This window comes from Homo sapiens, chromosome 4 (assembly GCF_000001405.40).
Source record: "Homo sapiens chromosome 4, GRCh38.p14 Primary Assembly".
Lineage (NCBI taxonomy): Eukaryota > Metazoa > Chordata > Mammalia > Primates > Hominidae > Homo > Homo sapiens.
Window position 1 is genome coordinate 98,262,294 of NC_000004.12, and position 24,178 is coordinate 98,286,471.

At 35.4% G+C, this 24,178-nt stretch overlaps 1 protein-coding gene across 9 annotated transcripts in view; it reads left to right on the forward strand.

Moving 5' to 3' along the window:
* Window positions 1-24,178, forward strand: part of RAP1GDS1 (Rap1 GTPase-GDP dissociation stimulator 1) — a 182,475-nt gene that overhangs the window by 910 nt on the left and 157,387 nt on the right. The window lies entirely within an intron of this gene.

Here is a 24,178-nt window from a genome sequence, read left to right on the forward strand (position 1 = left end):
TGTAACGTTGTTACCGAACTTACATGGTAGTTATTCTTTCCCAGCTTCCTCCTGTCTAATCTGCATAATCTGATTTTAGTTCCTTTGTATTTATAGTTAATCTGAAGAGATTGGTTTGGATGAGAGATTTAAGAGCAAATATGTTTTATAAAACGATATATACATTTGACCTAATTTTTTTACATCATCTATTGCTTAACTGTTACATTCAGTAATCACAGAAACGTCTGATGAATGCTGTCATGTAATTAAGAGCTCAAAGTTTCTTTTAATAGTAGCGACTTGTACTAAGTTCCCCAGTTTGCTTCCACTCCTGTCTGTCATAATTTCCTCTTTTTAAAATTTGCTCCCTTGGCATCTGTCAGCTGGGACTTTTCCCACCCCTTCTGTGCGAGTTATTTAAAGCTTGAGATGAATGTGGTCCTTTCATCTGTTAATACAGTGCTCAACACGTTCAGAGTTAGGTGGTGCAACTCAGAATCTTCAAGAAGTATCTAAACCTGGGAATGGTGTCCATAGAGTTTTCTGGAACAGCAAATGCTTCAGGCTTTGATCCCGACCTTTGGCCATATATCTGGAAGAGGCCAGGGTTGACGGAGGAGGTGGTATGAATCAAAAAAGGTCTAGGGCTCTGAATTTTATTTTCAGTTGTTTTTTCTTTTTAACGTGAGTACTCGATATGCTGAACAAATTTCTGTAAAAATTGGGTGGCCCATTTATGCGTGTCTGCCTTTCTCTTAAAGTAGATTTTTAAATAGGTATTATATCAGATTATTGGACAAGCTGTATATTTCCGTCGAACATACACACGTTTATGTGTGTTCCCTTTGAACATACACAGATAAAATACACTTTGAAATAAAATTCCTTTGAACATACATACACAGATAAGTGTGTGTATGTTCAAAGGAAATATACAGTATGTCCAATAACCCTATCTGATATTGGACTGTAAGTTCAAGTTTGGCTTGCAAAATATATTTTCCCATGTTTCCAGGTGAGCCTTAAACAATCCATTTAACATTTTAGCTTACATGTTAAATCCGTACTTTTTCAGTGGAAAAAATCCAATTCCGTTACAACACTGGTGAATAAAAATACCTAAAAGAAATTATCTACTTAAAAATAATCTTCAAAATCTTGAGTGCTATTGCTTGATTTTTAAAAAGGGCCAAATAGAAACCTATCTCTCATTTTGAAGCCATCTCTGATACTCTTTGGTTAATCTGTCTCTTCATAAGCACTGTTTGTACCTTGTTAGAAGCTTTTTAGCACTTACGTAATCTACCATATAATAAAGTTGTTTATGTGTGTGCTGTGCATTTAATCATGAGTCCCAGAAGATGAAAAGTGTCTTATTATTTTTTGTGTTCCCCACAGTGCTTTTCAAATAGAAATTCAGTAAATCTTTGGCAAATTGTTGAACTTAAAGCCACCTATTATTTTCAACTTTTGAACCTGAAGATATAGTCTTCATCTGAACAAACATTTGGGTTGGTACATATTATCTAGTTGGGGGATAAGCAGAAACAGAAAGGTATAATTGTACCATGCCTCCCAGTACACTGTAGGTTGGTTTTGAGTCAACCTCAGGCAATCTGTTTCCTTCTAAACTCTCTTCAATGGTAAGGCAGTTTCATGTATGATCAGTAGGTACATATGATAATTTAAAATTGAAACCTTGGGGAACAGTTTTATATCTGGGCCAAGGAAGTTAGTATAACAATTCATGTACACATAAGAAGGTAGAAGGTATACTGGTTAATGATGAGGGGAGGGAGAAGTGCTTTTTAATTTGTCTCAAGAAATAAATAAGGTTGATTTTTAAAGATAGTCTCAGCCGGGCGCGCACTTTGGGAGGCCGAGGCGGGCGGATCACCTGAGGTCAGGAGTTGGAGACCAGCCTGACTAACATGGTAAAACCCTGTCTCTACTAAAAATACAAAAAAACAATTAGCCGGGTGTGGTGGCGGGCGCCTGTAATCCCAGCTGTTTGGGAGGCTGAGGCAGGAGAATCACTTGAACCCGGGAGGCGGAGTTTGCAGTGAGCCGAGATCATGCCATTGCACTCCAGCCTGGGCAACAAGAGGGAAACTCTGTCTCAAAAAAAATATATATATATATTCTCATGGCAATAATTTCCTACACAAGAGAGTGAAAGAAAAGTCCTATATAACTTTATGGCCATAGCTACTATTTTATGTATATGTCATATTTCAGATTCAACATACATTTAGTGTTTGTTGGATATCAACTGTGCAGTGTACTGTACTACAGTGTACTGGGAGGACAAAGATAAAAAGATATTCATGTTTCACATTTATAATCTTAGCAGGAACAATATGACACATACACAAATTATAATAGAAGTAAAAGTATAAGTTATATAAAAGACCTTTACATATATTATAGATTCAGAGAATGGAGAGAACGTTTTAGAGAAATGGTGTTATTTGAACCAAAGGTGGGTTAAACTTCTTAAAGGTAGAAATGAGACTGTTAATCAGAATGGAGTTGGTCTGGGGTTGGAAGAGAAATGACATAAATGAAGATAGATAGGAAACATTTTATGAATTTCCAGGATATGATTAAACAGCATTGTTTGGCTAGAGCAAAAGGTAAGGAAATAGTGGGTAACAGACATGAAAAAGTAGTACAGTAATAGCTAATGACCAGATAATGTAGGATCTAAAATGCCAAGCTGAAGAATTTTAATCTGACTTACCTATTGAGAGACCACTAAACATTTTTATGTAGTTAAGTGATGGATCACATCTGTGGTATAGGAAAATTTGTCAGTTGAGTGCAGGATCGATTAGATGAGAAACTACAGAACACTTCAGAAGATTGTTGTTGGAGTTTGGACGAAAATGTTTAATGGCTTGAACCAGGTTATGGCAACGGGAATAGAATATTGCAAATAAAGAATAGGATTTACTTGGCAACCCATTGAGTATGGAATTGAGAGTCACAGGTTTTAGCCTGGGTGATAATGAGGATACGAGAATCTCCTGATACATATTCAGTTAACAGGAAGAGGAAACTTAGATACTCAATTTTGGACCTATTGCATTAGACTTTTTGGTCTGTCCTTTAGTCTCTGCTCCTTGATAACAAGGACGTTGTCATATTAGGATTTGAATACATTTCTAACACTAGTGTCTGGCACATAGTAGCTACATAGAAAAATTGTGTTGACTGACTGAAACTAGATAAAAAATAGTTGACAAACATTTATTTTAACTTTCGAGAGTACAATTTGAATTAGAGATCTGGAAGTTATCCACAAATATCCTGAGGTGATATTTGAAGTTAGATCAGAGGACAAGAGTCAACAAAGAAAAAGAGGAAAATTGTTCATGGTAAGAATCTTGAGGAATGGGGTTCCTTAAGTTTTCCGTAGTTAGGGAAAAAGGAATGGTATGATTTCACACTGAAAAACACAGAAGTCAGAGTGAAAGACTAGAATTGGTATATGGTTGGTTTTAAGAAAGAGTGAATAGTTAATAAGGTCTGTTTTTTCAGAACAGTCAGGAGGGTGATAGGGACTGAGAACAGGCTCTAAGTGCTTTGGTTAGGATATTACCCAGTATATTTTTCTAAAAAGCCACTTTAAGAGGTTTAGTAGATATGGAGGTCAGTTGTAAAGGCTAAGTGAATAATAAGTGGAAACAGTTCACTAGGTATAGTCATGCTGTATTTCTCACCTTGTTTAAAGATCTGTGAGAAAACATAGATTTTTAAAAATATTTTTAACTCACTCTGCATGACAGATATTACATTTTAGAAAATATTTTAAAATTTTAAATGTATTTTAATTTACAAATTAAAAAAATTATTTTAATGTTACATTTTACATGGAAGGACATGTGCTGTTTTCATGTCTAAGGATAATTTTTAATTTCACCATAGTGCCTCACATTTCTCTGACATTTCATTTTTAATGTCTTTGTGACTTAGTATAGTACAATTTTTATTTTTATAATGTCTGTCATGCAGAGTGAGTCTAGAATGATTTTATAATTTTGCATGGCATTTTGCCTAAACAATACTCTTTACTGATGAATGGTTTTATCACTTTTACTCTTAGACTTTGTGAATTTGAGACTTCTTTAGATTATAGGTATGCTTCTAATTATATTTTTAATTCCTGGAGTTGTAGTTTTCTCTGTAGATAGGTATCAAACTTATAGTCATTTTATTTTGCCTGTATTTCCAAGTCCAGGAATGGTTTTCATAGCTAAATAATAAATACTAATTTTGCCTGATCTTTGCAAGTCTAGGCAGGGTGATAAAATATTTTTGAAAGCTGGTAATTACTAAAATTTATGATTTCAAAAAAGCATAGATGCTAGCTTGGTAAATTTAAAAATTTTTCTTATGTTGGCATTATATCTGTTTTGTATATGTCTTTTTTCATATGGGAGAAAGGTTGAATTCACTATCCTTGGTAGTCATATTCTGAAGTCTGTACTACTACTATTTGAAAAATTATAATAGCCTTAACTCTTTTTAAGAACCAAAATGATTTTGCTTTCATAGTGGAATCTTGGAATTTCTAGGTGACTTTGGGGAAATAGTGTGGATGCTCTCCAGAAATTCCTGATTGAACCTGAGATTGAACATAGCAATTCTGGAGTTATTGGTGGCACTAACAACAGCCATCAGAATTACCTAAATTTTAATATCCAGTCATGAACATCAGGAGGAATGAAGGAGGAAGATTCAGTCCTTTGGGAACCTGATGTAATTTTAGATAGCCAAATGTTTGGATAACTGATAAGGAAAAAGTTTAATTTAAAATACATGTTGATGTTGAGTTCAGTTTGCCAGTATTTTGTTGAGGATTTTTCTATTTATGTTTATTAAGGATATTAGCTTGTAGTTTCTTTTCTTGTAGTATCATTGTCTGGCTTTGGTATCAGGGTAATGCTGGCCTCATTAAATGAGTTTGGAAGTATTTCCCTTCATTGTTTGGAAAGAGTTTGAGGAGGATTGGTATTAGTTCCTTTTTTAAAATAATTTCAACTTTTAGTTTAGGTTCAGAGGGTACATGTGCATGTTTTTTACATGGGCATGTTATGTGACACTTTGGAGTATGAATAATCCCATCACCCAGGGGTTTGGAGTATGAATAATCCCATCACCCAGGTAGTGTGCATGGTACCCAGTGGGTAGTTTTTCAGCCCTTGCCTCCCTCCATTTGTCCCCCTCTAGTAGTCCCCAGTATCTGTTGTTCCCATCTTTATGTCCATATGTACACCCAGTGCTTAGCTTCCGCTTATAAATGAGAACATGTGGTATTTGGATTTCTTGTTTCTATGTTAATTTGCTTAGGATAGTGGCCTCCAGCTCCATCCATGTTGCTGCAAAGGACATGATTTCATTCTTTTTTGTGGGTGCATAGTATTCCATGGTATATATGTGTCACATTTTCTTTATCCAATCCACTATTGATAGGCACCTGGGTTGTTTTCATGTCTTTGTTATTGTGAATAGTGCTGCGATGAAGATCCAAGAGCATGTGCCTTTTTGGTAGCATGATTTATTTTTCTCTGGAAATATACCCAGTAATGGGATGGCTGGGTCAAATGGTAGTTCTGTTTTAAGTTCGTCGAGAAGTCTCCAAATTGCGTTCCACAGTGTCTGAACTAATTTATATTTCCACTAACAGTGTAAAAACATTCTCTTTTCTCCACAGCCTTACAGCATCTGTTTTTTGTTTGTTTGTTTTTACTTTTTAATAATAGCCATTCTGACTGGTGTGAAATGGTGTCTCATTGTGGTTTGATTTGCAGTCTCATCACATTAAGAGGATCATACGTCATGATCAAGTGGGATTTATCCCTGGGATGCAAGAATGGTTGAACATACACAAATCAATAAATGTGATACACCACGTTAACAGAATGAAGAACAAAAATCATACGATCATCTCAGTTGATGCAGAAAAAGCATTTGACAAAATTCAACATACTTTCATTTTTAAAACTCTCAACAAATTTGGTGTAGAATGAATATGCCTAAACATAGTAAAGGTCCTATATGACAAGCCCATAGCTAACATCATACTTAATGGTGAAAATCTGAAAAGTTTATCTCAGATTGAGAAAAAAAACAAGGATGCCCACTCTTGCCACTGCTATTTAAGATAGTACTAGAAGTCCTAGCAGAGCAAATAGACAAGAAAAAGAAATTAAAAAGCATTCAAATTGGAGAGTAAAATGATCTGTTTAAAGATAGCATGGTCTTATACATAGAAAGCCTTAAAGACTCCTTGAAAAAAAAGACAAAAACTATTAGTCCTAATAAATGAATTCAGTAAAGTTTCAGGATACAAAATCAGCATAGAAAAATCAGAAGCATTTCTATACACTAACAGCAAACTTTCTGAGGATGTAATCAAGAAAACAATCCTATTTACAGTAGCTGCAAAAATATAAAATATTTAGGAATAGATTTAACCAAGAAGGTGAAAGATCTCTATGCTGAAAACTGTAAGACATTGATGAAAGAATTTGAAAAATTAACAGATATCCCATATTCATAAATTGGAAGAATTAATATTGTTACAATGTTCATAGTACTGAAAGTGATCTACAGATTCAATGTAATCCCTATCAAAATTCCAGTGAAACTTTTCACAGAAATAGCAAAACAATTCTAAAATTTGTATGGAACCACAAAAGATCTGAATAGCCAGAATAATCTTGAGCAAGAAGAACAAGGCCAGGGGCATCACACTACATGCTTCAAGTCATGTTACAAAGCTGTAGTGATCAAAACAGTATGGTACTGGCATAAAAGCAGACACATAGATCAATGGAACAGAATAGAGAGGCCAGAAATAAACCCAAGAATTTACAGTCAATTGATCTTCAAAAAAAAAAAAAAAAAAAAAAGCCAAGGAAACACAATGGGGACAGGACAATCTCTTCAATAAACACTGTTGTTAAAACTAGATACCCACATACTGAAGAATGACATTGGATCCTTATTCATCCCATATACAAAAATCAGCTCAAAATGGGTCAGAGATTTAAACAAAAGATTTGAATTTGAAAAGCATAAGATGCGCGCAAGAAAATACTGGAGAGAAGCTCCATAAGATTGGTGTTGGCAATGATTTTTTGTTTATGGCACCAAAAGCACAGGCAACAAAAGCAAAAATAAACAAATGGGACTTCATCAAATTAATAAGTTTCTCTGTAGCAAAGGAAACAACAAAATGAAAAGGCAGCTTACATAATGAGGGGAAATATTTGCAAGCCGTATATCCGATTAGGGGTTAACACGTAAAAATAATCAGGAACTCATACAACTCAGTAGCTAAAATAAAATAAAAATACAGGTTGAGGATCCCTAATTCAAAATCTGAAATGCTTCAAAATCTGAAACTTTTTGAATGCTGACATGACACTCAAAGGAAATGCACATTGCAGCATTTGGATTTTTGGTTTCAGATTTTTGGATTAGGGATGTTAAACCAGTTAGTATCATGCATGTATTCCAAAATCTGAATAATTTCAAAATCTGAAACACTTCTGGTCTAAAGCATTTTGCATAAGGGATACTCAATCTGTATTTACCTAGATGTAAATAATAAATGAATATATTAGAATAGGTTATTGTCTCAGTCCATTTTGTGCTGCTATGACAGAATACTGCAGACTGGGTAATATATAAAGAACAGAAATTTATTCTATCAGAGTTCTGGAGTCTGGTAACTACAAGATCAAAGTGCCTGCAGGTTTGGTCTTTGGTTTCAAGATGAGGCCTAGTTGCTGTGTCCTCCAAAGAGGAGAAACCTTGTGCCCTCACACAACAGAAAAGCAAAAGAGAAAATCCACTCTGGTAAGCTCTTTTTATAATGCCATTAATCTATTTATGAGGGCAGAGCCATCATAACCTAAACACCTCCCATTACCTTCCAGTACTGTTGTGTTTAAGTTTCAACATGAGTTTTGGAGGGGACAAAAACATTCAAACCATATAGTTATAAAGACTATTTCAGTTATAAAAGCCTGTGATTCCTTGAAACTGAAGTTTGAAATATACTCCATATCATTGGTATCTTAAATATAACCTCTATATAACTTGTTTTTCTTTAGTGTTCAAATGGTAATGTATACTTGAGGTAGCAACTTAAGGGTTTGAACCAACTTTAGCTTTGTCTGAATAAATGACCTAAAAAAACATTTCTCAAGCTGGCTAAGATATGGATGCTGGATTCAAATTGCAGGTGAAATAATTCTCTCAGTGCTTCTATTTATATAGCTTTTGTAACTAGAAGCATTTCAGGAGTTAAAACCAAGGACTAGGTTAGTGATAAATGGAAGTGGTTAAATTGAGCTCTTAGCTATGATTGGCTGTACAGTTGACCGTTGAATAACATGGATTTGAACAGCGCAGTTCCACTTCCATGTGGATTTTTTTTTTTCAATAAAAGCTATACCAAGTGAGTTGCCTCTCCTGCCTCCCCTTTTACCTCCTCCACCTCTGCCACACCTGAGACAGCTAGATGAACCCCTCCTCTTCTCAGCCTACTCAAGAGTGACTATAATAAGGATGAAGACCTTTATGATGACCCACTTCCCATGTAATGAACAGTAAATACATTTTCTCTTCCTTCCATTTTCTTTTCTCTAGCTTACCTTATTGTAACAATATGGTATTTGATGCATATGGTATATGATGCATATAACATACATAATATGTGTTAATTGACTGTTTATGTTATTGGTAAGGCTTCTGGTCAGCATTAGGCTATTAAGGTTTTAGGGAGTTAAAAGTTATGTGTGGATTTTTGACTGAGTGAGAGGGGGATTGGTACCCCTAGTGCCTGCATTGTTCAAGGGTCAACAGTACTTGTTAATTCCAAAGTCCTTTTTGTTCACAAAATGACTTTAGGTACTTATTGGTACTGAAATATATTTATTAATATCTGGGCTACATCTTTGTATTTAGCAGATTAGTAGACATCTCTACTAATTAAACTCATTGAGTTCAAAATAAAACTCATTTTATAATTTTTAATAATGATAATTAGAGGGGTGCTGGTAAATGTTTAACTAAACGCCTTTCTCCAAAATAGCCCTGATTTGTGATGGCTGTCAATTTCCTGTGGTGTAAATACTCCCCCCATGGCTCATTTCAAGCCGCTAAAATAGTGTCACTGAATGCAGAGTTGAGAAGAGATAAGAGGTAGCACATCATTATATACCATATCCACCATACAGACATAATCTCATTAGCACATATAATAGTAAAATGTAAAGTAAGTAGTGATGGTTTTGAGTGTTAATTCTTCTGTTTTAGTATAACTCATTTATGTATATATAATTATGTTTTAATAACTGCCTCATAAAAATCCTGAAAATTTAATAATTATATCTCATGGGGTAGTATAGGGGGCTGTATACCATTGAGTTCATAATTACCATTTATTAAGAATGATTGATGTGAGTTATGCTACACTTTACATATTTTTAAAACTGAATTTTAATCCTTTCAACAATTCTATGAAGTAGGTGACACTGTCTCCATTTTACTAAATCAAAGAATTAAATAATTTATCCAAGGGGACAACTAACACTCCAACATCCTGATTTAGAGCAATGGTTTTCAAACTTCAGCTTGCATAGAATCACTTGAAGAGCTTGTTTTTAAAAAATACTGGGCCCACCTTCAGAAGTTCTGGTTCAATAGATGTGGGGTGGGCTGAGAATTTGCATTGTCAAGACCTTCCCAGGTGATGCCACACTGGGAACAGCACCACCATCAAGCATAGGCTGACAAGCTTTTTCCATAAAGGACCAGATGATAAATATTTCAGGCTTTGTAGGCCATGAGGCGGAATCAAAGATACTACATATTGGGTTAGTGTGTAAGTAATTGTGGTTTCAGACTCTGCATTTTAAATAATTATTACTAGGCGCAAACACATCTTTATTAATCAAAATAGGAACATTAAAATCAACACATTTTTGCCAATGGGAAGTAAGTTTATTCCTGTAGCATTAAAATCCATGCTTCGGGATTTATCAAACACTTGGAAAGCATTTTCTGCATCCTGCTGGTTGTGGAAGCATTTTCCCTCCTAAAAGTTGTCGAGATGCTTGAAGAAGTGGTAGTCAGTTGGTGAGAGGTCAAGTGAATATGGCAGGTGAGGCAAAACTTCATAGCTCGGTTCGTTCAACTTTTGAAGCGTTGGTTGTGCGATCTGTGGTCGGACGTTGTCATGGAGAAGAATTGGGCCCTTTCTGTTGACCAGTGCCAGCTGCAGACAGTACAGTTTTCAGTGCATCTCATCAATTTGCTGAGCATACTTCTCAGATTTAATGGTTTCACCGGGATTCAGAAAGCTGTAGTGGATCAGCAGCAGACCACCAGACAGTGACCATGACCTTTTTTTGGTGCAAGTTTGGCTTTGGGAAGTGCTTTGGAGCTTCTTGGTCCAATCACTGAACTGGTCATCTCCAGTTGTATAAAATCCACTTTTCAGTTGCCATATAAAATCCACTTCTTGTTGCACGTCACAATCTGATCGAGAAATGGTTCATTGTTGTTGCGTAGGATGAGAGAAGACAACGCTTTAAAACAACGATTTTTTTCTGATTTTCGCTGAGCTCATAAGGCACCCACCTATCGAGCTTTTTCACCTTTCCAATTTGCTGCAAATGCTGAACTACCAGAGAATGGTCGACATTGAGTTCTTCGGCAACTTCTCGTGTAGTTGTAAGAGGATCAGCTTTGATGATTGCTCTCAATTGGTCATTGTCGACTTCTCATCTTCCACTACCCTCCTCATCTAGGCTCTCGTCTCCTTTGCAAAACTTCTTGAGCCACCACTGCACTGTATGTTCATTAGCAGTTCCTGGGCCAAGTGCATTGTTGATGTTGCTAGTTGTCTCCGCTGCTTTACGACCCATTTTGAACTCAGAAATAAGAAAATCACTCGTAAAGAGAACTGTGCATTAAAATGATGTATAACATAACCACATTTATTTAAGAATGTATTCGAGCATCTAACAGCAAATTTCAACAATGCAAAAACTGCAGTTATGTTGCGCCAGCCTAATAGAAAAGGGAAAAATATATATGAGAGAACATAAATGTCCATCATTTTTTTTACTACATTTGAAATATGATAACATTAATTGAACACAATTTATTGTGATTAAAAAATGAAAAGACTGGAGTTCTTTTTTTTTAATTTATATTTTTTATTTTAAAGTTCTTTTGGGATAACATTTCACTTATTAAGATTCAAAGTTATCCTCTTATCAGAATTTATTGTAGATGTTCATCTGTTAATGCAGACCTGTAATGCAGTTTTACAAATTTCATCTTTGAGGCATTTTTTTCCCCACACAAATAAGTACTGCCAATTGTATATGATCTTAATGAGCATATTCATTGTATGGAAGGCACTAATAGAATTCTCTCAGTACAGCTGTAATTGTTGGCAAAAAGCATTGTTTTGTTTTGTTTTTTTTCCCAAGACTTTTCTTGATATTTGCTATTTAGTATGCAATTACATTGCAGATTAACCACTTCCAATTTAAGGTTAGGTGGGAGCTCCTCAATTGCATGGTTAAATGGATTTTGAAATATAGAAATTTCCTTTGCACTTGCAGTGAGGTCTGAAAAGCACTGCAGGAACTATAGTTTGAACTTGCAAAATATATCTATTGCAAATTTGTGTATGGAGGGAGATCTTTTTATTTTAACATTTGACAACACAGGAAGTATATAAAGCCATTATTACTTGTAATTGGAACAGTGTTGTCAAAATGACTTTATTGCAGTATTTTCTCACGTAAGCACTGCTTTGCCTTGACTTTTAAGTCAGATTCATTAGGAAACTGTCAAATTTGCAGCAAATTTTAATTTCCAAAGCTATAGTAGTGGTTAAAGGCATTTCTTTTTGTTCAGAAAATTTCGTTTGTGACCTCGAGCTCAAAAAAATCACAATAAAACTCTGTAACCACTAAGCCATTAGACTTCTGTGTCATAAGGCAAGTCCAGATTTTGTTTCCATTTCTGATCAAAATTTACAGAACTTATGATGGTTAAATCTGTGAGAATAAATGAAGTTCACTGGTGACATTACTGGTTCAGTGATACATGATAAATTAATGTTTTCCCTACTGGTTCAATGATACATGATAAATTGTTTTCCCTATTGATGAATAATAGAGTGAAGTACCATAGCTTTAAATAGCTATGCTTTCACAAACTTTGTAAATTTGTTCAACTAAACCTTTTTCTGGTCTTCATTTATTTTTGTCACCATCAGTTGCAACACATCTTAACGGATTCCACTTCAGGTTATACTGAATTGGTGCTTTCTCAACTTGGGAAATATTCTTGCTTATTATTATTTTATGGAGACTCTTCATAGACTCTAACTCTTCCGTGATTTCAAGCTTGGAATTGACTTCTTGAGAAAAAACTAAGCAGTATCATTAATATCTGCCAGCTCATCAAGAGCCAAAGAAAACCTCTACAAGTCTTTTGCCTTGTTTTTTAGTTGAATGTTAGTATTGCTCCCAGTGTCCTCATCTCCAGTAGTTATTCTCACTGAAAGGTTAAACAAGTTTATTTTCTCTGGAAACATTGGTGGCTACAGCCAAATACAATTTAATTAACTCCCCATGGGTAACTGGATTTCCTTGCTTGGATAATAAATGAGATACCCGGAAGCTTAATTTGTTTGCAGCTGTGTGTGTGTGTGTGTGTGTGTGTGTGTGTGTCTGTGTGGAAATTCTGCTGTGATGAGATACTTTGTTTTATATTTTCCTGATTTCTCTGATGATAACTTCCTTTGTCTTGCGAATGTGATGAGTGCTTAGTCTGGTAGTATCGATGTATATTGTATAGTACAATGGTTTGCCATCTAACTCGATAACAAAACAATTCACATACTACTTTAAATGCCTTAAAAGTGTGACATGCTTCTCTTATTTTGACAGGAAGATCAAATGTGGTATAACAGTATACTATGGTTTTTGAAGCACTTGACAAGTCATAACTGTCACTGCAATTTGTAGTGCATCCAGCAACTGTGTAAAGTGAATCATTCTGTTACAACCCCTCAACTCTGCTATCATAATGCAAACACAGCTATAGGCAATGCACAAAGGAATGAGTTGTGTTCCAATAAAATTTTATGGGCACTGAAATTTAAATTTTATATAATTTGCATTTCATGAAATATGTTTTTCCCTTAATTTTATTCAACCATTTATAGAAGTAAAAGCCATTATTTTTGCATTACTTTTACTTTCACCATTACATAAAAGTATGTATGGGCTGTGGACTGTACAAAAATTTTACGTAGGCAATGGGCTGTAGTTTGCCAATTCTTGCTATAGAGTAGTGCTGCACTACTTCACCTTTCCACAAGACTTTTTCTCTCTATGAATTCCCTATCTAAGTGAATGATACCACCATTCATCCGTGCAACTGTTCCTAAAATCTGGAGTCATTCTTTTAATATCATTGGGTTCCCTAAGTTTTAGCAACTCTACTACTTTGAATTAAACCTCCCACCTCTTTACTGTAAACATGTAAGTTTAGGCCCTTATTACCTCTTCTTGAGACTACACTACCCTTTTAACAGATGTTCTTTCCCCTGGCATCCCTCTTCTTGACCAGTTTTTACATGCTGCTAGAGTACTGTCTGAGTTCATTTGGGCTGCTGTAACAGAATACTATATATTGGGTGGCATATAAACAACAGATTTTTTTTTCCCACAGTTCTGGTGACTGGGAAGTTCAAGATCAAGGTGCTGGCAGATTCAGTGTCTGGTCAAGGCCTGCCTCCTGGTTTATAGGTCATCTTTTCTATGTAACCTCACACGGTAGAAGGAGTGAGGAAGCTCTCTGGAGGTTGAGTTTATAAGGGCACTAATTCCATTCACAAGGGCTCCACTCTAATGACCTAATCACCTCTCAAAGGCCCTACCACCTAATATCATCCACATTGGGAGTAGGATTTCAACATATGAATTTTTAGGGGACACAAACATTCCATCTATAACAAGTACTCTTTCTAAAATGTAAATCTGATTGTTTTACTCCTTAGACATATTTTGTAACGGTTTTCCATTACCTAGAGCAGGGTTCCCAAACTCAAATGTAACTGATTAAAGGTAATTAAATGGTGATTTTTTTTTACATACCCTTTTTTTTTTTTGCATATTGAGTAAAAGAGAATATTTTTTATTTCCATGAAGATGGCTTTCTCTTATTTTTCTTAAAGTATGTCTTTCTTTTTGTCTTTCATTTTGTTACTTTGAATAAAAAAGAACAGCTTAGAAATACATTTCTCTGCTATAACAAAGACAGCAGCAAAAACATGATGAATGGCATCTAACACTGGACATCATTCTAAGGATACAGAAGGAAATGCTGGGACTATGGCAACTAGAGCATTTGCCCAACCTGGAAAGGGATTCCCTGTGCAACCTCAATGAGTTTTGCCCTAAGAATGTGGGCCCAAGGAAGTCACATTTTTGACTTTTCAAAAGAAGTCAGAAACCAGATTTTTAAGTCTGAAATCTTCAGATGGCTGGTTTTGGAAATGGAAAAATATTGTGAGATCTGGAACCTCAAATGATGATATTATGGTTCTCTCTCTACTTGGCTAGATTAGGGAACTGAGGATCAGTAAGACCTGTCAAGAGACAGGTCTGAGTTCATGCCTTTAGTTAGGGGCAGTGTCAGGCCTAGAATGTTGATCTCTCAACTCCTATACTAGTGTTCTTTTTATTATACCAGACTAGCTCCAATTTGTTACTGAAAAAAAGCAAGCGCACACATACATAACACACACACAAACATGAAGAAGCTAATACTAAGGATTCATCCAAGTAAGTGAGTTGATGGAAAACTGTTGTCCCTTTCGGACATTTCCACTAACAGAATCCAGACACTAATCACCTCATTCCTGTAGTACTGAGATACTAGACTTTCTGCTCCCCAGTCCTTTCTATATACTATGACCAGATTAACATTTTTAAAAAGACACTACATCAATTGTATTACTTTCTTATACAAGAATCTAATATTGCTTCAATTGCCTATCATATCAAGTCTAAACCATGCTGAGCTTTCAAGATCCATGGAACTTTGCTACCTCTTATTTCTCATTACTCTCTGGAACACATCTTCCTTTCACTGTCCCCTATATTCTTCGTCATAACACCAGTATATCTTTGATTCTGTTATTATATTATTTCTTCTAGAATAGCCTGTTTTCTTCTGTCTTCTTAGTCATTTTTCATAGTCTAACTCATTAAGACGGCTTCTGAGTTCTACTGACCTCTCATTTCTGTGGTACCTACTACTACTTAGATTTCAAATCTCATTCAGTGATGTAGTTCTATTCACTCAGTGTTTCATATTTCTTTTTGGCATTTGGTAAATACTTGTTTGTAGATGTTACAAAGTCACTACAGATTTAGGTCATGCTACTACTCTTAACAACAGTATCCTATAGTGATAATAGGAATTTTTATAATAGAGTTTGTCAGGCAGCAGCCTGTGGGCCAAATATACCATGTAGATGGATTTTGTTAAGGAGATTTTAGAAATTGGAATTAACTGTTAACACTTAAGAAATTTCTGATGAAAATACGCTTTCTAGCCAAGTGGTGGCTTACGCCTGTAATCTCAGCACTTTGGGAGGCCAAGGCGGATGTGTCACTTGAGGCCAGGAGTTCAAGACCAGAGTGGCCAACACGGCTACTAAAAGTACAAAAATTAGCCTTTAGTCCAACCAAGTTACTCAGGAGGCTGAGGCATGAGAATCACGTGAACCCGGGAGGTGGAGATTGTAGTGAGCCAAGATAGAGCCACCGCATTCCAACCTGGGCGACAGAGCAAGGCTCCATCTCAAAAAAATAAAAAATGTACAATACCCTAGGCTGCATTCCCATTAAACAGTCATCTGTAGTTGTCTTTTAGGCAGGGTATGAGGTCCCCCTAGTTTTCATTACTTCTTATTATCTTATATCCTTCAAATTTCACTCATTAAAACTCCTGTTTATCTGGTTCCTGGAGGTATCTGAATTGCTAAAGATTTAATTATGTTCAAAATTACTGTAAAGTTGAATTTATATTACTTTTTGAAAATTAATATTTTAAAATTAAGAAGTTAATTGTGAAAATTTAATCATAAAAGTAGTCAAGAGCACAGTTAACTACTTATGATCTATATAGTCACTAATCATGGTTAAACTGAATTTTTAATTAATCAGAATGATATAAGAAATCATAGAGATATGGAATAGATTCTCTGCTCTCCCATGAACTGTGTATAGCCTTCAGCAAGTTGCTTAAGCTCTTTTATATCCTCATTTTATATATACCCTTAAGATATTATCATTGTCATTGATTAAGAACCACAGAATAGATTCCAAATGAAGGAAATGGGGGGCCTATTTTATAAGGAAATAATACAAATTTTAATATGGAAACTTTCAAGCTCAGTTACCTCATAAGGACTTCACTAGCCTAAACCAAGATCTGTTGGATTTTTTCTTTCCTTATTTTTGGCCTTGCAGCATTAAATAAATTTTCTAGGAAAAATGGCATTCCATTTTAAAAAGTCATCATAGTATAATAATAGGGCCACTAGGCCGGGCGCGGTGGCTCACGCCTGTAATCCCAGCACTTTGGGAGGCCAAGGCGGGTGGATCATGAGGTCAGGAGATCGAGATCATCCTGGCTGACATAGTGAAACCCCGTCTCTACTAAAAATACAAAAAAAATTAGCTGGGCATGGTGGTGGGCACCTGTAGTCCCAGCTACTTGGGAGGCTGAGGCAGGAGAATGGCATGTACCCAGGAGGCAGAGCTTGCAGTGAGCCGAGATCGCACCACTGCACTCCAGCCTGGGCGACAGAGCAAGACTCTGTCTTAAAAACAAACAAACAAACAAACAAAAATAATAATAATAGGGCCACTATATTTTTTCTAAGGAACATTATTATGTCTTAGCATTTTATAATATATGAGTTCTATAACATTTAAAATAACTATATGCAAAAGAATTACATAAATGATATATAATTTTAAAATTTTAAGATAATTACATTTAAAAAATTTTTAAATGATATAAAAAAGTATATAATTTCAGATAACTAGTAAATGATTGTTGGAATTTTTTTTTCATATGGAAAAAAACAGGAATTGAACTTTTTTTTTGTGACCCAGAATAATTTTTTTTGAGATGCAAATTATTTATATATACTTACATGTATACATATATTGCATAATTTATATTTTTGACATTATAAAATATTTTCTGAACTTTAAGTTCTGTACTTTAAGTCCTGGGGTACATGTGCACAACGTACAGGTTTGTTACATAAGTATATATGTGCCATGTTGGTTTGCTGTACCCATCAACTCATCATTTACATTAGGTATTTCTCCTAATGCTATCCCTTCCCCTGTCCCCACCCCATGACAGGCCCCCGTGTGTGATGTTCCCTGCCCTGTGTCCAAGTGTTCTCATTGTTCAGTTCCCACCTATGAGTGAGAACTTGCGGTGTTTGGTTTTCTGTCCTTGTGATAGTTTGCTCAGAATGATGGTTTCCAGCTTCATCCATATCCCTGCAAAGGGCATGAACTCATCCTCTTTTATGGCTGCATAGTAATCCATGGTGTATATGTGCCACATTTTCTTAATCTAGTCTATCATTGGTGGACATTTGGGTTCGTTCCCAGTCTTTGCTATTGTGAATAGTGCCGCAATAAACATACATGTGCATGTGTCTTTATAGTAGCATAATTTATAGTCCTTTGGGTATATACCCAGTAATGGGATTGCTGGGTCAAATGATATTTCTAGTTCTAGATCCTTGAGGAATCGCCACACTGTTTTCCACAATGGTTGAACTAGTTTACAGTCCCACCAACAGTGTAAAAGCATTCTTATTTCTCCACATCCTCTCCAGCATCTGTTATTTCCTGACTTTTTAATGATCGCCATTCTAACTGGTGTGAGATGGTATCTCATTGTGGCATTGATTTGCGTTTCTCTGATGACTAGTGATGATGAGCATTTTTTCATGTGTCTGTTGGCTGCATAAATGTCTTCTTTTGAGAAGTGTCTGTTCATATCCTTTGCCCACTTTTTGATGGGGTTGTTTGTTTTTTTCTTGTAAATTTGTTTAAGTTCTTTGTAGATTCTGGATATTAGCCCTTTGTCAGATGGGTAGATTGCAAAAATTTTCTCCCATTCTGTAGGTTGCCTGTTCACTCTGATGGTAGTTTCTTTTGCTTTGCTGAAGCTCTTTAGTTTAATTAGATCCCATTTGTCAATTTTGGCTTTTGTTGCCATTGCTTTTGGTGTTTTAGTCATGAAGTCCTTGCCCATGCCTATGTCCTGAATGGTATTGTCTCGGTTTTCTTCTAGAGTTTTTATGGTTTTAGGTCTAACATTTAAGTCTTTAATCCATCTTGAATTAATTTTTGTATAAGGTGTAAGGAAGGGATCCAGTTTCAGCTTTCTACATATGGCTAGCCAGTTTTCCCAGCACCGTTTATTAAATAGGGAATCCTTTCCCCATTTCTTGTTTTTCTGAGGTTTGTCAAAGATCAGATGGTTGTAGATGTGTGGTGTTATTTCTGAGGCCTCTGTTCTGTTCCATTGGTCTATATCTCTGTTTTGGTACCAGTACCATGCTGTTTTGGTTACTGTAGCCTTGTAGTATAGTTTGAAGTCAGGTAGCATGATGCCTCCAGCTTTGTTCTTTTTGCATAGGATTGTCTTGGCAATGTGGGCTCTTTTTTGGTTTTATATGAACTTGAAAGTAGTTTTTTCCAATTCTGTGAAGAAAGTCATTGGTAGCTTGATGGGGGGATGGCATTGAATCTATAAATTACTTTGGGCAGTATGGCCATTTTCATGATATTGATTTGTCCTATCCATGAGCATAGAATGTTCTTCCATTTTTTTGTGTCCTCTTTTATTTTGTTGAGCAGCGGTTTGTAGTTCTCCTTGAAGAGGTCGTTCACATCCCTTGTAAGTTGGATTCCTAGGTATTTTATTCTCTTTGAAGCAATTGTGAATGGGAGTTCACTCATGATTTGGCTGTTTGTCTGTTATTGGTGTATAGGAATGCTTGTGATTTTTGCACATTGATTTTGTATCCTGAGACTTTGCTGAAGTTGCTTACCAGCTTAAGGAGATTTTGGGCTGAGATGATGGGGTTTTCTAAATATACAATCATGTCATCTGCAAACAGGGACAATTTGACTTCCTCTTTTCCTAATTGAATACCCTTTATTTCTTTCTCTTGCCTGACTGCCCTGGCGAGAACTTCCAACACTATGCTGAATAGGAGTGGTGAGAGAGGGCATCCCTGTCTTCTGCCATTTTTGAAAGGGAATGCTTCCAGTTTTTGCCCATTCAGTATGATATTGGCCGTGGCTTTGTCATAAATAGCTCTTATTATTTTGAGATACTTTCCATCAATACCTAGTTTATTGAGAGTTTTTAGCATGAAGGGCTGTTGAATTTTGTCAATGGCCTTTTCTGCATCTATTGAATTAATCATGTGGTTTTTGTCATTGGTTCTGTTTATGTGATGAATTACATTTATTGATTTGCGTGTGTTGAACCAGCCTTGCATCCCAGGGATGAAGCCAAGTTGATCGTGGTAGGTAAGCTTTTTGATGTGCTGCTGGATTCGGTTTGCCAGTATTTTATTGAAGATGTTTGCATCGATGTTCATCAGGGATATTAGTCTAAAATTCTCTTTTTTTGTTGTGTCTCTGTCAGGCTTTGGTATCAGGATGATGCTGGCCTCATAAAATGAGTTAGGGAGGATTCCCTCTTTTTCTATTGATTGGAATAGTTTCAGAAGGAATGGTACCAGCTCCTCTTTGTACCTCTGGTAGAATTCGGCTGTGAATCCGTCTGTCCCTGGACTTTTTTTGGTTGGTAGGCTATTAATTATTGCCTCAATTTCAGAACCTGTTATTGGTCTATTCAGAGATTCAGCTCCTTCCTTGTTTAGTCTTGGGAGGGTGTATGTGTCCAGGAATTTATCCATTTCTTCTAGATTTTCTAGTTTATTTGCGTAGAGGTGTTTATAGTATTCTCTGATGGTAGTTTATATTTCTGTGGGATCGGTGGTGATATCCTCTTTATCATTTTTTAATGTGTCTATTTGATTCTGCTCTCTTTTCTTCTTTATTAGTCTTGCTAGCGGTCTATCAATTTTGTTGATCTTTTCAAAAAACCAGCTCCTGGATTCATTGATTTTTTTTTTTTTTTTGAAGGGTTTTTTATGTCTCTATCTCCTTCGGTTCTGCTCTGATCTTAGTTATCTCTTGCCTTCTGCTAGCTTTTGAATTTGTTTGCTCTTGCTTCTCTAGTTCTTTTAATTGTGATGTTAGAATGTCTATTTTAGATCTTTCCTGCTTTCCCTTGTGGGCATTTAGTGCTATACATTTCCCTCTACACACTGCTTTAAATGTGTCCCAGAGATTCTGGTGTGTTGTGTATTTGTTCTCATTGGTTTCAAAGAACATCTTTATTTCTGCCGTCACTTTGTTATTTACCTAGTAGTCATTCAGGAGCGGGTTGTTCAGTTTCCATGTAGTTGTGTGGTTTTGAGTGAGTTTCTTAATCCTGAGTTCTAATTTGATTGCACTGTGGTCTGAGAGACAGTTTGTTATGATTTTTGTTCTAGGAATTGAACGTTAAAAAAAAATTGCCTTTAAAACGGTGAGAAACACATACCATCAAAGTTTTTTTGACAAGAAATTCATCAGATTTTAAAAACAATTTTTTAACTTTTCTGAAAATTGAAGATTCTTCAAGTAACTTCATGAAAGATGAAACTGATCATTACAAAATGCAAAACTTACATTGATGTAGTTGTGTTTCAGAGAAATAAAAATGTTGATTTGTTTTTAATATTATAAGCTACATTTGGTCTCCAAAATACAGTTAGAGCAAAGAAAAAATAGTATGAGCTGATGATTTTCCTTTAGTTGCAGAAATGCATTTCTGGGGATGGTGATGTGGTGGTAAGCTCTAATAAAAACTGTCCAGTGTGTCATATTTCTGGCTTTTATGTGTTGCATACAAAGCACCATCAGTCAAATGAGCAACACAAGACTACCATATTAGGCATTATAAACAGTGACAAAGTATAAGTAGTGCAAGTAGTCATATTTCTAGTTTTGAAATGCTTAAACTCTAGTAGATAAAGAATAATAGAAAATGAGCGATAAAAAAGGACATAATTTAGATTGTCAAGAGAAAACACAGACCCCTAAGAATTTAATTAAGAGGACAGATTATATTTACTTTTTCAGCCCCTAATACAGCTTCTTGGACATATATAAGTGTTCATTACTTAAAATGATCTGGAACTTTTTCTAGAATTTATTATTTATTCAGTTAAACACTTATTGAAAGCTAAAGTGTGTATTCAGCATTGTACTACCCTTGAGATACTGTGGCAGACTGCTTCCTGGTACATTTCATTGTGATTTTTTTTTTTTTTTTTTTGTTAGTCACTAATTCAGATACATAGACAGTTGTTACCTAGTACAACTAGCTAACGTGTTTGGATTATAAATTCATTTTGGAAGAGCTTACATCTATATAAAGGAAGGTACAGACAGTCCTTTGCACAGTTCTGATTAGCACAATATCTGTGTAACTTTCATGTAACTGAGCAAAGTTCAGCTACCTATACAGAAGGAAGAGCCTGTACTTGCAGACACACGTATATCTGGATTTACCCAACTTTGGCACTTATTCTGGGCAAGTTATTCAGCTTCTGAATTAGCTTTCTCATCTATTACAGTCAGATAATAATATCTATTTCACAAGGGAGTTGGAAATAGTACATAAAGTGATATCCATATAATTTTTAAAAATAATGTTATCTGTAGGGTTTTTTCCCCTTTTATTTTAGATTCAGGGGGCACGTAATGCAGTTTGTTACCTGGATAAATTGCATGATGCTGAGGTTTAGGGTACAAATGATCCCATCACCCAGGTACTGAACATATTAAATAGTACACAGTAGTTTTTCAACCCCAAGTAATTTTAAATTTCCATTTCCAAAGCTAAAAATATAATCGTTTTTAGAAAACTTTATCTTGTATTCAGAGCTAAAACCAATCAAAGACTATAATGCTGTTTATTGTACTATTTTAACCAAACCATGTGGTGAATATTAAGTTATGGTAGCTGATTATATTTTTAGAAGATAATCACAACAATGTCTCTTGCCCCACATATTTTTTTAGAACTTCCTACCACTCATTAAGAGTTGGGGTCTAATTCTCCTATTGAATCTGAGCACACTTATGTAACCATTAGAATGCAGCAGAAGGGATGCCATGTGACTTTCCTAGCTTAGGTCATAAAAGGCAATGCTGCTTCCGCTCTGATTGTTGGAATACCAGCCTGCTTGGAGCCCTGAGAAATCCGAGTACCTGGAGGTTGCTGTGTCAGGAAGCTAAGCCTTGTAGAAAGGTCCCAAGTCTCAGGTATCAGATTTCAGGTCAGAAATCCTAGTCTTTGAGTCCTTTCATGCCAGTCACCAGCCATGTGAGTGAATGAACTGTTAGATGATTTAGATCATGCCAGCTTCAGCCACTGAGTCACTCCCAGTCACCCCTAGCCTTTGAGACTCTGCATCAAGGCTGTAGATTTTGTGAAGTAGAGACCAGCCATCTTGAATGTGCCCTTTGTGATTCCCGATTCATAGAATCTATGAGCGTAATAAAATGGCTTTTGTTTTATGCCAGTAAATTTGGGGTGGTTTGTTATATAAAAACGTTTTTATATAAAACACTGAAAAGATACATTTCCTCAGTGAGCAATAGATTGCTATTGAAATTCATCAAAGTAGGAACTACCTGCTGAATAAATGTTAACTGAGTTTTTCTTTCATTTCAAATGAAGATAGCCTAAAAAGACATTTGCCTAGAGAAATTTGGTTTCTTTACTTGTTCTTTATTCTGACATTAATTGTCTTGAAGAGATATTAATTGACTGTTCTAGCAGCCAGGAAAGAAATGTATATGCTTAAAGAGTGCTGTGGGTTTTAACATAGCTTTATGATAAATTTTACCAGTTTGGCTAATGAAAAATGTCAATTAGTACTTTTAAATTATTAAGAATAGTTTCCACAAAAGTTTAGTATTTTTATTAACACAGGAGCCTAATAAAACCTTGTAGGAACAAAGGAATATCTGTACTGATCTCTCCAACTGAAAATTGTTATCCCTGATACTAATTTTAATGTTAATGTAAAATATTAGCATCATCACTAGTATATTTGGCAGTTGTTTGAGTCATCTTTCCTGTCACTTCTTAGAAGACAGTGGATTTTCTAGGTTGATCACCATTGAATAAAATTATAACTGTCATAAAATTATCAAGGGATTTCTGTTATGTAGTACATATTATGATTTCCTAAAATAATATAATAATTATAATAATGGGCACTTTTTATTAATATATTAATATTTATAATAAATAATTATAAATAAATTATAAATAATTTAAATAAATAATAAATTTAAATTATAAATAATAAATAATTGTAAATAAACATTATAAATTATTTATAATATTTATTTATAAATATATTCATATTTATTATAATAATGGGCACATTTTATTAAGATTATTGCCATGGCTGGGCACGGTGGGCTCATGCCTATAATTCTAGCATGTTGCGAAGCTGAGGCAGGAGGATGGCTTGAGCTCAGGAGGTCGAGACCAGCCTGGGCAACATAGAAAGACTCTGTCTGTCCAAAAAAATAAAATTAGCTGGGCGTTGTAGTCAGCACCTGTGGCCCCATATATTCAGCTTGCTGAGGTGGGAGGATTGCCTAAGCCCAGGAAGTTAAGGTTGCAGTGAGCCATTATTGTGCCACTGCACTCCAGCCTGGGTTACAGAGTGAGACCCTGTCTCAAAAAAAAAAAAAAAAATTATTGCCGTGAGTGCCAGGAGCCAAAGTATTGTAGGCCTGTCGCATCCAGACACAATGTATGTGATTAGGCTCTCTCTGTGTAGAGCCTAATCACATATACACAGACATAATTCTTGAACTTTATGAGAATAGGTCTTTAGGCATTGTGTGAAATAAAATTTTACAAATTGTATTTTGCTCTTATTTAT